The sequence below is a fragment of the Homo sapiens genome, chromosome 1 (genome assembly GCF_000001405.40).
Source record: "Homo sapiens chromosome 1, GRCh38.p14 Primary Assembly".
Lineage (NCBI taxonomy): Eukaryota > Metazoa > Chordata > Mammalia > Primates > Hominidae > Homo > Homo sapiens.
Window position 1 is genome coordinate 176700892 of NC_000001.11, and position 17025 is coordinate 176717916.

General features: G+C 39.0%; 1 protein-coding gene across 6 annotated transcripts in view; it reads left to right on the forward strand.

The window, feature by feature from the left end:
- Positions 1-17025, forward strand: part of PAPPA2 (pappalysin 2) — a 382427-nt gene that overhangs the window by 237717 nt on the left and 127685 nt on the right. For all 6 annotated transcript variants that reach the window (XM_047427180.1, XM_017002024.2, XM_017002023.2 and 3 more), the window contains 4 exons: positions 1716-1844; positions 5468-5559; positions 9092-9285; positions 10944-11090. In XM_047427180.1, the coding sequence (XP_047283136.1) occupies positions 1716-1844; positions 5468-5559; positions 9092-9285; positions 10944-11090 (562 nt within the window). The remainder of the gene's footprint in view (positions 1-1715; positions 1845-5467; positions 5560-9091; positions 9286-10943; positions 11091-17025) is intronic.

Here is a 17025-nt window from a genome sequence, read left to right on the forward strand (position 1 = left end):
ATATTTGCTCTGTCAATTAGAACTAGAAGATAGTGAAATGACCAAAAAGCTAATGCAAATGCAAAGGTAGCTTTAAAAAGAAAAAAGATGTCATTTTGAACTTCTTAAATAAGGCAGTTAAGATGACATTTGTTATCTAATTTGCTACACACACACACATACACACACACACACACACACACACACATGTTTAAGGCCAATAATATCTCATTTTGTAGATGAAAAATCTGAGGCTTAACTTTGATTTGGTTCAATAGCTAGTAAATAGCAAAATCGGAATTAAAATCCAATTTTTCAACTGGATCTCATTTTGGTCCTCTTGCTTCAGTTAACACTCTGCCTTTTACAAACTCAGATCCTGGAGGGCTTGGGCTACCTGCCGCTGAGTTTTTCCTCAAGAAAAGTAAACACATGCTGATGTTTCCATCCAGTCCTTTCCCCAGCCACAGAAAAGTGTGAAGCTTTTATGCATGGCTGGACAAGCAGTCTGACAGAAACCGCCTTGTAAAGGGAAACTGTCAGCATTGATTAGGATATAAAATTGGTTTTACTTTAGAAATATCTGGCATTCTCATGAGAGGTTTGCTTCTCTGGGGGATGTGGGGGTAACTAATTTGGAAATTTAAAAGACTTTAATATCTAGGTTTCTTTTCTATTAAAATACTTAAAAGCCAGCACAGAGGTTTTTAAAGATGTTTTTGAAACCCTGAGACATTTCCTGGTTGCTGGTTGCTGCATCAGCTGAGGGAGTGGAGGCTTTGTGGGTGAGTTGAAAAGTCTGTTAAAGAAGAGAGAACCATGGCAGAATACTGATGGCAGCCACTCACAGTAGTCCCAGCAACCCTTTGAGATCCTGTTTCACTAAGTAACTCCCATCCTAGCTTGACTTTGGTGGTAGTTTTCCAATTAGGGCAGGCACTGGGCAAAATTAAGATGAAGGCAGATTTTGTCTTTGGGACCAGAAGCTCTCCTTCTTGAGCCCTTTTCCTCTTCTCAGTGTCTTGCCTTTCACCCTCACCACACAATCAGTGCACCCAGGATCTAGAGAGAGTCTGACAAGCTCCTTTCATCTCTAGGGTCAACTGATACAACTCCATTCCTGATACCTACACACTTTAATAGATTTGGAGGTGGGGAGTTGTTTAATGCATTTCTAATTGTGGAACTTCTTGCTTCCCCCAAATTGTGACAAAAGTTGTTCCTACCTGCTGTTATGAGACAGTTGATCTTACTCCTAAGGATTCAGTCTTCTCAAGACAGGAATTCTCTTGAGAGAAAACTATGATCGCAGACCCAAGAAGGGGGACTTCCTGAGCCCAAACTCTGAAGCTTTCATCTCCAGTTTCTTTGATTACTTTGATGATACAGAAGACTGGCTTTTAAATAGTTTTGTTTTGTTTTAACATGGTAAAAATGCACTTGAAATACCATCTTCCTAGATTAACTGGGACTGTTAGGTTCAGTGTTAACGCAGCAAGCATTTACTGCGCATTTACTCTGTGCAACGCACAGGGGATACAGAAATAAATATGGTTTCAAACCTTCTGGTGCTCGGGAAGACTGTGCCCTGATCTTTGTTTTAGACAATGCAGCGTATGTTTAACCTTTATGTTTCCCATAATATTTCCCTTCAACTTCTGTGAACCATCAACAAAGGACCCAGGGCATGCCTCACTTTGTGGCTGTAGTGGTCACAAACCCTTTGGTTTCCACAGGGAGGTCACACCTGGACAGATGTATCAGTACCAAGTTCTAGCTGAAGCTGGAGGAGAACTGGGAGAAGCTTCGCCTCCTCTGAACCACATTCATGGAGCTCCTTATTGTGGAGATGGGAAGGTGTCAGAGTGAGTATTTTGTGTGTGTGTGTGTGTGTGTGTGTGTGTGTGAGAGAGAGAGAGAGAGAGAGAGAGAGGGAGGGAGAGAGAGCAGGGACACTGTTCTCTAAACAGAAGTTTCAGGAGTTTGACTTGTTTTGGAAATGTAGGGAGCAAGGCACCATTTGATTCTAGTGTTGAAATTCTAAAATCTGGGACTTGGTTGTGTCAGGTCTTGAGATCTGGCATCTCTACATAGTTATGGAGGAACCCACTTTTACTTATAGCTAACCCCAGAGTATTGAGGTATTGAGGCCGATTATCTGGGGGCCCCTTTTATGGCCTCAGCAAGCAACTGCTGGACAGTGATTCAGGGAAGGAATTTATGCAGAAGAAGGTTACTCATCAAATGATGCTGAAAGAGGATCTCTTTTGAACAAATGGCCTATTCTGCTAACGAGGTGTGTGATCTGAGGAAATTCAGTATAGCTTTCGGATCTTCAGTTTCTCATGCAACCCTTAGTAGAACTGATAACAATATAATTTCCAGCTATTCTGTAGGCATCACCAAGGTAGAAATGGAATCACCCTTTCTGTTTCTTAACATACTATGTTACTTTTCTTGTTGCCCTTTTGTGATATTAGCATAGAGGACTAATTAATTCATTCTGGTTTGCCTGGGACTTCCCCGGTTTTAGCACTAAAAATACCAAGTCCCAGGAAATCCTGGACAGTTGATCACCCTACATCAACCTAACTTTAATGCTCATCTATTTGTTACTTATATAAAGCTGCTGGGATGAGGAGGCTGGAAGCCAGACACTGTGATTTGTCTTAGATTTTGCATCCTAATAAGATGGGTTATTTTTATTTTCCCAGACCAGGTGAAAATATATCGTATATTGAAGCCCTAATGGGAATCAATTCTGTAGGCTTGCTTGGGATTCCATCCCATCATTTAGCAGTCACTCAACATTGTTTATCTCCTCAATCTTCTAAGATCCTGAAACTATAGTAAGTCTATTCCTTGTCATAGAAGTATAAACACTAAAATGTTCCCAGCCCTCGATAATATGTGGAAGCCATTGAGGTCACCTCAACCTTGCTCACGTGCTGTCCCTTGCTACCTAACTCAGCCTGCCACCTTCCCTCCTTCACTTCAAATCAGATTTCTCCCTTGGATGCTTCACATTGCAGAGGACAAGTCCACTTGACACTGTTGTTGTTTTCTCTGTTTTGGTTGCTTCATTTTAAACCTGAAGCCCTCCAGTTAATGTGCTGGGGGGGGTGGGTGACCACTACTACACTGGCAGGACCCTCCTTGAACAAAACACTCTGCCCTCTGTCCTAGTGTCTTCCAAGGCAGCTGTCTGATGGTGGCCACCCTGCAGCCCCAGGGTGCCATTTCTGCCTGGAGGATGTGGGGCTTGAAAGGGGTGGAGGGCTCTTTCCCTACCCTGATTTTGCACATTCTCTCACGAGCCTTAAAGCAGCTTCATCTAAGGCAGCACTGCTTGGCTACTGGGTCTCGCAAGGTTACTTATCAAAATGTTCCTTGAAACTTCTGCCTATGTTTTCTTCTCTGTGTAACTAGCACTTCCATCCAATGGGAAGGTATGCAACTCCAAATCTGGCTTAGCCAAATGCACCACATTACACGTAAAACAAGAAGAATCCATACCAATCATTTGATCACTTGGATAACACTTGTCAATAGGACTACCAAAACAAGCACGATGCAGGGCCCTGAAATTATAAACAGTATTCATATAGAAGTTAATCATTTCAATCTGTGCTGTTCAATATAGGAGCCACCAACCATAGGTGGCTCTTTTTGCCTTTAAAATATACCAAATGCAACTAAAAAACTGAATACTTAATTTTATTTAATTTTAAGTAATTTATATTTAGTTTAAAAACCAAAACTCAGTTTGGTTATTGGAAAATCTTCAAGTATATTTGGAACAACTTGGGCAGGTAAATCTAATGTTCCAACTATAAATTTTATAAAGTCTAAATACAGATCAAATAGTTGAATTCAGATGTGCTGTAAGTGAAAAATACACACTAGATTTCAAAGACTTAGTATACAAAAATAATGTAACATGCCTCATTTTATACTGACTGCAGATTGAAATAATATTTTGAATATTTTGGGTTAGGTAAAATATATTATTAAAACTAATTTTACCAGTTTCTTTTTACTTTTTAAATGACTACTAGAAAAATTAAAAATGTGGCTTTCATTACAGTTCTGTTGGGCCGCATGGCACAAGATGATACATAGCATGCTTATATTGATTGTTTAGATTATCTTCAAAATGAAAATATAAAGTTGCCGACCTCCAAGATTATTCCTGGACCCCTTGTAGCAAAACATAGATGAAGGTTAATCCTCTCTCCATAAATAAGCACATTAAGGCATAAAGTATTTGGAGACTTCTTGGATATAGCACACATTTAATTAGGTCCCCAGTACAGTCTCTTTTCATTGAACCACATTGCATTTATATAGAAAAATGATTTGTAGTTTCCTTAATTTCTTCAATTATGTTGTTTTTATATCACTTTTAGCCTTCTCCACTTCCAGCTTGCCATTTAAAATATGATTACTATATCACTGTATTCATAGCATACATTTAATTCATTTTAAACCATTCTCATTTCTAATTATTTAATCTTTCATTCATCCTAGTGAGGCATACTTTAAACAATAGATTAGAGCTATTTATGATGTTCTGGGTCTGAAAACACTTTAACATTCCAAATCCTTTATCTACTGAGTTAAAATATATGTCCATTTTGAGCATGAAAAAAGTCAAGGAGAAAAAAATGGTAGTCCTCATCCATTTTGCAATAGCCAAATATTGGTTCTTTCATAGGAGCATCAACCCAAACTTATTTTGTTTCCATGAATTACTTTATGTCCGTTTCACTATAAACTAACTCCCCCACCTCAATTCAAATTTTGTTGTCTGTTGCATTAGCATTTGAGGTTGGAAACAAAAACATTTTTCTTCTCTCAGCATTTGTTTCTTCCCTGCAATATATGTTAGCTGTAACCAGGTGGTAGTAGGGAGTAAAGACAGGGACCTGAGCCCTAAGGATTCCCTAGACAGGCTGCTTAAGTCTCTGGGTATATGAACAGGAGATTGAATTCTACAAAATCCTAATTTTTATAACAACTGCACCTTTATGTAACAAAACAATGAAAACATAAAGAAATACCAGATAAAAATGAATAGATGAAACCACACAGACAGGCAGGCTTTCTTCTTACCATCATCAGCTATTTTAAGCCTTTATTCATTATAGGGCTGGCAGGGTTTTTCTAAGCTTAAGACCCTCTCCCAGAAACATCATCAGGACCCTCATGGATCTCCTAGATGTTTCTGAGCCATGAGCTACTTAACTTCAGGAATTCCCACAACCCACTGGACATGCCAACCACCAATCATTGCTTAAATTGTATCTACTTTATATATCCATATGTTTGTTTCTATTTTCTGTAAAAGCATTCTTCTAGCTCCTACTTTTTTCCAACTTGCACTTTTTAATATATACTGAGAAATTGTAAGAATTTTAAATGATGGTAGCTAAACAAGAAAATTTGTGTGTATGTGTTATATATGCATATATATTTTACCCTCTAGGAGACTGGGAGAAGAGTGTGATGATGGAGACCTTGTGAGCGGAGATGGCTGCTCCAAGGTGTGTGAGCTGGAGGAAGGTTTCAACTGTGTAGGTAAGTTCAAGAGTTTCAGTCTAAGATTGTGTCCTACTTTTAGAGGTGTATTATTTTGTGAGTTCTTGATATCCTGTAACATCTAGCTTAGTGATTATAATAATAACCTCTGATGTGTCCCTTGTATGCCAGGCATGAATTGTTTCACAGGTATTATCTCAGTCAATCCTTAGAATAACTGGGGAAGACAAAGTGAGGCACAGAGCTTAAATAACTTGATTTCATTTATGCAGCTAGAAGTGGTAAAGTCAGCATTTGAACTAAGGAAGTACAGCTCTAGAATCTGCGTGGTAAACCATTAGGTTATACTGCTTCCTAGCTTAATGTTACCAGGGATTTATCTTGGACCCTCCAGGGTAACGCCAATATGTCAGGTAAGTAGCACAATCAAATGGACTCTACATACAAATTAGGGTAAGGAAACATTCTAAGCCAAAGTGAATGCAAGACATATTTTGGTGACTGTGTGTAATAGATTCAATCATGAAGAATAAAAGAGGATCCTAACATATTTTAGCCTTGGAGAATCACTGGTAAAAATTTTAACTTTGACTCTAGAGTATAAGGTGCTTTTAACTCTAGACTCTTGCCACTCCAGGGAGGCAGTCTACAACACTTTTCCAATTCTGATTAAAGCTACCATCAACAGGTTTCTTAGATGCAGATTATTTTCCATTGTCATCTGCATAGATTGCAATGATTTGGTAGAGGATAACCACACATTGAAGTTTTTAAAATAGCAGTGCATTTAAAAATATTTTAATGTCATGAAATCTTAAGATAAAGTCGAATGTGATTACAATTATGTATAATTTATTAAGGTGTTAAGTATTATACAGAATATACAAATGTCCCTGCTCTCCAGAGCCAGACCTGAATCATAGAATGTTGGTGGTCCTCTCTCCATAAATTCATCCATCCATCCATTTGAAAAAGGCCCATCGTGTGCTATATGTTCAGTGGTACCATGTATTCTGTGCTTGTTGTGTACCATGAGTCTGACAGAGTCCCTGATCCTTTCATGAGTACAAGTTTAGCAGTGACTTAGAGTACAGCTTCTCTGTCTTACAGAAATGCCTCCTACCAAAGCATGACAGATGAGTTTCTAGCTTTTGCTTACCTAAATCTAGCCATGAAGAATGAACCTTGAAACAGACCATTCTGTTTACAAATGGCCTTATCTGTTGTAAAATTTTTCCCCTTTTTTCCAGTTCGAAAACTGAGGCTCAGAACGTTTTAATGACTCATCCAAGGACATACAATGAAATCTTTGCAGAGCCAGCCCTAGAACTCAGCTTTCCTCATGCTTAATCAAGTGCGTTTTCCCTGCTATGAAACTACAGAGGATATATATTTTTTTCTGTTTTATTTGACTACCATTCAGATATTTGAAATACCTCTCCATTATTCTCCTTTCCAATCCAAACATCCCCTCATGTGATTAGGTTTCCAGACCCTTTCTTATTTACCCCAAACTGTCATGCTTCATGTGGTCAGTGCCCAGAAGGGAATCCAATACTCCAGATGTGGTCTGGCTATGCCGAATACATCGAACCGATTACCTCCCTCTTCTGTACACAAGTATTTGTTAACACAACCTCTGTTAGCATTATTTCTTTTTGGTAGCCACATAGTGGTCGCATATTAAATGCAATATATATTCTCCAAACACTGAACTTTCCTCAGTGTAGCTCAAGTCTTATTTAACCTAAGAGCAGACCTTAATTTGTGTCTATCACATTTGATCTCATAAAATTTGGCTATTTCCTTCAACCCCAGTAAGACTATATTTAAATTGTTTTAACTATACAGGGTAAGGTTAAAATGATATATTCCAACAGTAGACATTTTTTCAGTGAATCATAAGTTCATCATATGCTAAGCACATATTCCATTATTTCTCAAAATATCAGGTTTGAAGGAACCCCATTGTAAAATATATTTTTAAAGTATTCCGATGAATTTGAAAGAAACATAAACAAAAATTTTAAGTCCGTGCTTAAAAAAATAGAGACAAGAAGTAAGAAGAGTAGTTACTGGGTTATAAGAAGAAAAACAAAACAAAACTATACGTACATGTAGAGAGAGAGAGAGAGAGAGAGAGAGAGAATCATCATGGGAAAGTCATTCCAAAAGCACATACATTGGCTTTGGAGAGTGCTTTGAGTAGGTTTGGTGAAATGCATGAGTTGAAAGCCCAAAATAGACTTTCAACCAAGTCCTGTGGACAGTGGCTTATATCTGGCAAGTAGAGATAGATTTACCACAGAAGGGTCTTAGAGGAAATTGTTAAGAGAATAATTAATAACTATATATTGATGGACAGCTGGCAAATTACTGGAATAGCCCTGTGGTATTGCTGTGAAGAATTGAACATGAAGAAAAGGAAATAGTAACAGTAAATTTTAGTAATGCTCTTATTGAATATATACCTAGGTGTTGTTATTTTGAATCTTAATCTTATTTTCATGTCCTATTTTTAAATAGAAAATGGAAATTTGAATTGTGCCATTAATATTAATTGTCTCATATTTTGGTAAAAAATGCAACAGAACTTAAATGGCTTTGTAGGTGTTTCTCAGCTATCTACATTTGAAGGCAGTGTGTCTATGTATCTATAAAGAGTCAGTGCTATTCACTTACTAGGAGTTATCGTATGAGCAAGAATGGAACTTGTCCAGTGCATACTAGCTGGCTTTACAACGCCAGTATATTTTCTTAGATATTCATTTATCACCTGTTTGCTTTTGAAGACAGCCCCTCTGTCTTAGTTTGAGGCAGTGTTCAGTGAGCTGCTGAACCTGCATTCTGGCTCTTGGATTTAAGCCTGACTCAAATTAATGCTCTATTGCTTACCTTTCGAGGGTCCTCTACAAAGTCACATAAAATCACTGAGACTCAGGCTTCCTATCATAAAAGAAACAAAATACACACCTCACAGGGTTGTCCTAAGACTAAAAAAAAATTAATAACATATGTAAGCCTCAAAAGCCTGGAGCCTATATTCTCCAGTGTAATAGCAGTCACGCAGTTGAAGAAACACAATTAAGCAACAAATAGTGATTGAGAACAAACCCCCCGTGATACTTTAATATTTCAAAAACTATGAAAAAGATTCAAATATGTAATACCTGATAGGATTTATTTAGATTCCTTTCTTCTTTTACCTACCTATCTTATATCTCTAGTTTCTCCCAAATATCTTACTCAACTATTACTTAAAATTTCTTTCCACACCCAGTCTACAGCTGCTTTTTTTCTCCCTGTTCTTTCTCCCCTGATCTCAACCATTTCTGTACTTTTATAATGTAGATGGTTTCTACCTTTCTCCCAATGAGAAAAAATCCTTATTCTTTAGGGATGTGTGGGATGTATGTGTATCTGTGTGTTTGAGGTAGGCATTAGACTGGCAGGCAATTGCAGAATTCTCTTCAGTGGGCTGGAGAAGAAGTGTTGTGGACATTCCCATGTTCATTTTTTTCATGACATTTATGAAAACACTTTTTCTGTGTCACACAATATTTCTTGGCAGGAGAGCCAAGCCTTTGCTACATGTATGAGGGAGATGGCATATGTGAACCTTTTGAGAGAAAAACCAGCATTGTAGACTGTGGCATCTACACTCCCAAAGGATACTTGGATCAATGGGCTACCCGGGCTTACTCCTCTCATGAAGACAAGAAGAAGTGTCCTGTTTCCTTGGTAACTGGAGAACCTCATTCCCTAGTAAGTTAAGCCAGATGAATAGAGTCGAGCCTGCGCAAAATTGTAAAGTGACTCCCCCTATGCTTACACTTGGGGTCTATGTTTGGATAATTAAAAGAAGAAGTAAGGAGTTAGAAGCCCTAGGGAACATTACTGGATCTGCCAGCATTGCTATTACAATTACATGATGTTGGACAAGTCACTTAACCTCTCTGGGCCCCAAGGTTCTCACCTGGAAAAATGGGTATAGTAACACCATTTGCACTGTTTCAGTGGTTTACTACAATGATCAAATAAGCTTTAAAATATGTATTAAAGATCAAAGTATAAATTGATTTAAAGAAGTTTTATTATTGAAGAAACCCTTGATATAAGTAAATTCTTGCGTACATATTTTTTTTCTGAATATCCACCTAAATAGATAGAAGATCCTCTGACGGATCTAAAATGCTATACCAATGACATCTATGAGATATAGTTGAAGACTGAAAAGAGGATTAAAGGCTCACAACTCTTGGGACCTATTCTAGATGCTTTTATTGTGAAATAAACTCTTCCATTTATTAGAATAGGCAATACAGCCCTTTCACAGAAGTGAGATTTAGGCCTCTAGGTATTTCAGGCCAGAATGAAATAATAGGATTTTATACTTGAGAAGACATCTTTGAAGAGATTGAGGAGCCAGCTAAGGTTGATGCTCCAGTTCAAGGATTTCATCAAGGACCCAGGGTCTCCTAGATTCCAGCTCTTTCATCCTCGGGTGCAGCCTTCTTCCTCCTGCTCAAAACATGGCTGCAGTTCTCCTAGGCGTGAAGTCAGCATTTCAAGGAAGGAGGGGGCAGGCCAAAGGAAAATAGGTGCATGCCAGCTGAGTCTTTCCCTTTTTATTGGGAAAATAATAGCTTTTCTGGAAGTTCCACCCGCCTCTTACTGGTCAGATCCAGGCCACTTCATCACCTTTAGTTGTAAGGGACCCTAAGGAGATGAACATTTATAACCAGATACACTGTCGCCTTGAACAAAATTGGAGTTTATTAATAAAAAAGTAAGGGGAAATAGATACCGATCGGCAACTAGCCATTTCTGCCACACTCTCTCAGCCTAAATTCTAGCATCTTGCTCTTTCAAGTCCTGGCATCCGATGACAGGAAGCCAGGGAAGTTGGGAGATTCTGAGGTAATGACCGCTCTCTGAAGTGGCTTTTAGTCTAGTCTGTCTGTCTTCCCTAAGTGAAGTGGGAGAAATTTCCTGGAGTTTCATTTCTCTGGCTCCTTTGCTTAGCTGAATCCTCAGTGGTTCCCTAACTCAGTAGCCTCACTTTTGGGGCCAGTGGATGCTGCCTGGTAAGGGCTTCATCATCACCCCAGACAGACTTCCCTGGCTGTTCCTGGGGCAGTTACCTGAAATATGCCAGGACTATTTGTAACCACCCAGTGTGTAAGACCCCTGGGCCGATGATAAACGAGAGTTGTTGTGTTTTCTACCCTTGTAAGTTATATCTTGATGTTAAAGAGAGCACTGAGAAATTCTTCAATGTTGAGAAAAGTTTTCTGCCAATAATGTGATCATTAGGCATTCAGAAAGAGAGAACAACTTTGCTTTGAGCTGGAGAGTTTCATTGTCCTTACTTATATCTTCACACTCCACACTTCAAATTGTTGGTTGAAATTGTATTTCAGATTTGCACATCATACCATCCAGATTTACCCAACCACCGTCCCCTAACTGGCTGGTTTCCCTGTGTTGCCAGTGAAAATGAAACTCAGGATGACAGGAGTGAACAGCCAGAAGGTAGCCTGAAGAAAGAGGATGAGGTTTGGCTCAAAGTAAGTGGCCCAAATGTTTCTTTTGTGCATGTGAAAGGTGTAAGCATATGTGTGTGTGTGTGTGTGTGTGTGTGTGTAAATGGTGCATTTGGATGACTTGTCAGAAAATTTTCTTTTGTTATCTCAAAGTGTTAATATTTTGAGTTTATTTTCACCTCTCTGTATTGTGGACTTCTTTCTGTTAATACATGAGTAATCAGTTTATCAAAGTGTAACATACACACGGAAAAGTGCAAAAATCAGAAATGCATAATAGCTCAATGAATTTTTGCAAAGTGAACATCCTTTCTAATCACAACATAGATCAAGAAATAGGACATTCACATCACTGCCCCCCCTCCAAGGCTCTCTCATGTCCCCTCTTAGTTATTACACCACTGAGGTGGATACTATTTCTGTTTCTATCATCATAGATTAGTTTTGACTGTTTTTGAAATTTATAGGAAAACACTTTACAGTATGTACTCTTTGCAACTGATTCTTTCTTATTTGGCATTATATTTGTGGGATTCATTCATGCTGCTTCACTTAGCAGTAGTGTTCATTTTCATTGTGGTATAAGCATTGCAATGTATGAATACACCACCATATATTTAACCATTCTAATATTGATGAATATTTGGATTACTTCTGGTTTTTCTCTATTATGCTATTACAAGTCATTCTGCTATAAGCATTTCTGTACATTTTTGTGGTGAACGTGTATAAACAGATGGGTATATTTGGAACTGCCAGATCGCAAGTAGGCCAGCTTTGGTAAATAATCCCAAATAATTTTCCACAGTGGTTGTACTAATGTATACTCCCACCAGATGTTTTGAGTGTTTCAAATGTTTCACATTTTCATCAACATTTGGTCTTTTAAGTCTCCATTTTAATGTTTTGTTGTATATGTAAAGGTATTGCCCTGTGGTTTCAGTTTGTATTTGCATGATGACTAATGAGATTGGGAGGCTTTCATATGTGTATCAGCTATTTGTACATATTTTTTAAGGGCATAATCAAGTCTTTTGTTCAATTTTCCATTGAGTTGTCTGTCATTTTCTTCATAATTTGTATTATTTCATCATAATTATATGCATATTAATTCTTTTTCAGTAATATGCTCTTTCATATCTTCCAACACTATGGCTAACTTTTCTTGCTCTTAAACACATCTTTAGACGAATTCAAGTTCTTTTTTTTTTTTTAAGAGGCAGGGTCTCGCTCTGTTTTCCAGGCTGGAATACAGTGGTGCCATCATAGCTTACTATAGCCTTGAACTCCTGGGCTCAAGAGATCCTCCCATCTCAGCCTCCCAAGTAGCTAGGACAAGAGTTGCTTGCCACTACACCCAGCTAATTTTTAAATGTTATATAGAGATGGAGTCTAGAAAAGGCACCAACTCCTGCCAGTATCTAACATCAAACTCAAGTTAACCAAAGCCTCTTCTTTAAACCTGAGCAAAGGGGATAATCAAAGTAAACTGCTTTCATGAGACACAGGGGCAAGCTTGTATTCACTTAATAATTTTGCCTTTACCTAAATTAATATAACTTATTATAGTCCTTGATACCAAATAATTTAAATGTTTAGCTACCAGTGAGCTTCCTTTCCTGTCATTTTCAAAACTAGGCTGGGCTTATGACCTTTTTGTTTAAAGCATTGCTAATTCTTTATGTTTTATTTTGCCTCTCAAATGTAAAACTGTTCAGTCCCCCCAGGCCCAAAGACAATCATGGAAGAGGTGGGCGTGTGAGATTATAAGGACCAGATTTTGAGAGATAAAATTAACTGAGATCCTCCAAATCAAAGACAGGCACATAGATGCCTAAACAAAATGTTTGTGTTTTGTATAACTAATTACTACAAGCCAAGATTATAGCAACTCAACACACATAAGTCAGTTTTATAACCTTATTTTTTGACTTTTAGTTTTGACTCTTATATTGCTTAAAAGAGGTTTAAGAGCTAATAAGTGTCTGCCCACCTTCATTCCTGGCTGGCCTAAAACAATTAATTAGCTATAAGTCTTTTAACTCTAACTCCCTTGACCATAAGGATCCCACCAAAGGACATAATGGACCCGGGGCAGATAGCACACCACCCCAGCATCGGGGTGAGACAAGAGGAAAGCTTGGCTATTAATACTATTTCTGTAGTGCCTTGACAAAAAGGGAAAACGTAAACTGAAAAAAAAATCCATGGCCCCTCTACAGACTGAGTAGATCCCCCACTTGGCCAAAGGGAATCCCCTCCAAATGCTAAAAAATCTAATTCAAGCCTGATGAGAAATAAAGGGTCAGACACACCTCACTATGCTCCAAACCCCTAATGTTTAAGCCAGGATCAGAGGCCATTCCAAATTATAAAAATAAAGTATTGCCCTTTCCGATGCAAAAAAGAATACTTTTTCTCTTCAATTGGGAGACTTAGCCTTACTGGGAGAAAAAAAAAAAAGGATACCTTGAGGATAAATTACAACCAAAATGGAAGGGCCCCTATCAGGTATTATTAAACACCCTCACCATATTAAACTTTTAAAAAATAACTACTTGGGTACACCTCTCCAGAATAAAACCTGTTTTTTAATGAGTCACAGGCACCATAACCTACATCTGCGGAAGAAGCCATGACCTACCTCTGTAAACCTTTGAAAGACCTCTGCTACCTATTTAAAATAACACATGGCCAAAAGTAATAATGTGATACTGTGGATAGCAATAGGTGCATTAATTATTTTCTTCTTGATTATAATAAGTCTTTTCTATTGCTTTGGCCAACTACCTTCTCCTAGAAAACACCTCTTGTATCCTTGTTGGGTGTAGAGACTCTTCTAAGGACCTACTAGACACCATGTTGGCACTATTAATCCTGTTTGCTCTCTCAATTAACCTAATCCAATGTGGGTGGAAGTAAAACTTTATAATAAATATTTCAAAAATTATAGCGTCAGGGAATCATCTTTGTGATTACTAAATTTGTCATCAACATTTCCAGAATAGCAAATTCCACCTTCTGGCCTATCCAGAAAAATCTCATGGCCATCTCCCCAGACCTCCTGACTAATCACTGCAATCTCAAAGTACCCAGACCCCTACTTGTTAGGTGAAACTCTGCCTCACTTAATGGATTCCACCTAAACCCCCTGCCACTATGACCTAGACCTGGAAAGTTGGCTATCTTTACCTCCAGTGCACTAATAATTCTATCTTTAGTACCCACTGTTGTGTTAATGACACAAAAACAAAAGTTTCCCTTCAATGCTCTAATCTAACTCTAGTTGCCAAGTTCCCAAGGTCGCAGCAAGGTAAATGGGATTCCACTTGTGTTCGAAAAATCTGTTTATAGGCCTTCTCCTGAATCAAAACACACAGGGGAAAAGCAACTGCCTAACTGGGGAAGGTGGAAGCACAGCCCCCTTCTAAAGAACAAGGAGAGTTTGACCACCCCCACTGGAGCAGGGGAGAAATATCTCTACAGACCCAATGTGGCTGCAAAGGGTAGACATCACACCTTGTGGGGCCTCTGTGCCCCAACTGGGCTCGTTTCTGTTTGTGGTCATGAGTGGGAAACAGTCATATCTCATAACCATTCCCGACTTCCTGGGGAGCCACGTGTTCTTTCAGGCATAGCTTTCCCTAATTTATCAAAAAGGTGAAATGGGTGAACATACATTGGCCACCCTTACCCCTGTGGGGATCACCGTCTATAACCCCTTAAGACCCAGGAATACCAGAAATAAATGAGCAATGACGTTGATTCTGGCAGGAATTGGGGCAGTAATAAGACTAGCAGACCCCTGGGATGGCTTGGCCTACCATGAGTTAGCCCTAAAATGCTTGACTCAAACCCTACAATCATTAGCCACCAACACAGATTAGGCATTAAAGGGAATTCAAAAATTCCTAGACTCTTGGGCAAATATAATACTTGATAACAAACTAGTGCTGGATTATTTAGTAGCTAAACAAGGCAAGTCTATGCAGTTATTAATAAAATATGCTATACATATATTAATATTAATATATTAATTAATTAATATTAATAACTTCAAACAGGTTGAGGTTAACCTTCAAAAAATCTATGAACAAACTACCCGATAACACAAATACAATGAGGGTACTGGCCCCAACTGTATTTGGTTGACTATCAAAAATGTTCTCCCAAGTCTTACCTGGTTCTTACCTCTCCTAGGACTTTTACTGTAAAAGCTAATAATAGCTTTCTGTTATTACTAATTTTTGTCCTTTGCCAATTTAACCTCTTTCTTTTTTTTTTTTTTTTTCTTTTGTTTGAGACGGAATCTTGCTCTCGCCCTGTCACCTGGGCTGGAGTGCAATGGCGCGATCTTGGCTCACTGCAACCTCTGCCTCTCGGGTTCAAGCGATTCTCCTGCCTCAGCCTCCCAAGTAGCTGGAATTACAGGTGCCCGCCATTATGCCCGGCTAATTTTTGTATTTTTAGTAGAGATGGGGTTTCACCACATTAGTCAGGCTGGTCTCAAACTCCTGACCTCAGGTGATCCTCCTGCCTCAGCCTCCCAAAGTGCTGGGATAACAGGCATGAGCCACTGCGCCCAGCCTTAATCGAACCTCTTAAGAAAGTTTGTGTCTTCTAGATTACAACAATTCCTTCCTTCTTTTTTTTTTTTTTTTTTTTGTTTTTTGAGATGGAGTCTTGCTCTGTCACCCAGGCTGGAGTGCAGTGGCACAATCTTGGCTCACTGGAAACTCCGCTTCCCAGGTTCACGCCATTCTCCTGCCTCAGCCTCCCGAGTAGCTGGGACTACAGGCACCCGCCACCATGCCCGGCTAATTTTTTGTATTTTTAGTAGAGACGGGGTTTCACCGTGTTAGCCAGGATGGTCTCGATCTCCTGACCTCGTGATCCGCCCATCTCGGCCTCCCAAAGTGCTGGGATTACAGGTGTGAGACACTGCGCCCGGCCACAACAATTCCATATAAAAATGTTAGCAGCACAAGGCTTTCAACCCATCCCCTCTTCTGACTCAAAAAATGAAAACACCCTCCCTTTAGGCCCCTTAGGCCAGCTGTCCAAAGATTTTTATTCCCCCAGTGCTAGGCAGAAAGCAAAGTAAAATTAGCAGAAAGCACTCAGAGAAGATAGACCTCCACCCTTCTGCAGCCCCCTGAGGATTAAGGAGGAGTATCTAATATCTGAGAGGGGGTTAAGGTAGAAGATCAGTAGGACTTGTTTTGTAAGCATTGGTTAGGGCCCTGCTAATCAGAGCAGGATCTGGTTGAAACAGCCTACAGTGAAGAAGCCAGCCAAAACCAGCAGATGGCAATAAAAGTGACCTCTAGTTGCCCTAACTGCTCATTAGCATAAAGACACTTCCAGCAGCACCATGGCAGTTTATAAATGCCATGGCAGCATGCTATGGCAATGACCCAAAAGTTACCCTATATAGTTCCGAAAACTCCTTGCCCCTTTTCCAGAAAGTTCTGAATAGCCATCTCTTAATTAGCATATAATTAAAAGTGGGTATAAATATGACTGCCAAAAGCTCCTAGGCTGCTACTCTGAGCTCACTGTCTATGGGGTAGCCTTGCTATGAGAGTAGCGGTACCTCTGCTGCCTCTTCATAAAAGCTGCTGTCTAACACCACTGGCTCACCTTCAAGTTCTTTCCTGGGCAAAGCCAAAACCTCTCCTTGGCTAAGCCCCAGTTTGGGGGCTTGCCTGCCCTGCATCAGTTTTCTGAGAAAGTGGAGTTGAATTTTATCTAATGCTTTTTCTGCATCTATTGAGATGATATTTTTTCTCTCTTTGTTCTGTTACTATATTAACTCACATTAAACATTTTTTTAATGTTAAACTAACATAAGATATTTGGAAAACCAACAGCCAATCACAGAGCTTTGAATTCTATTTGAGAATATGTTGTTGGTTTTTCATCTACATTCATTAGAGTTTGGCCCTAACTTTCTTTA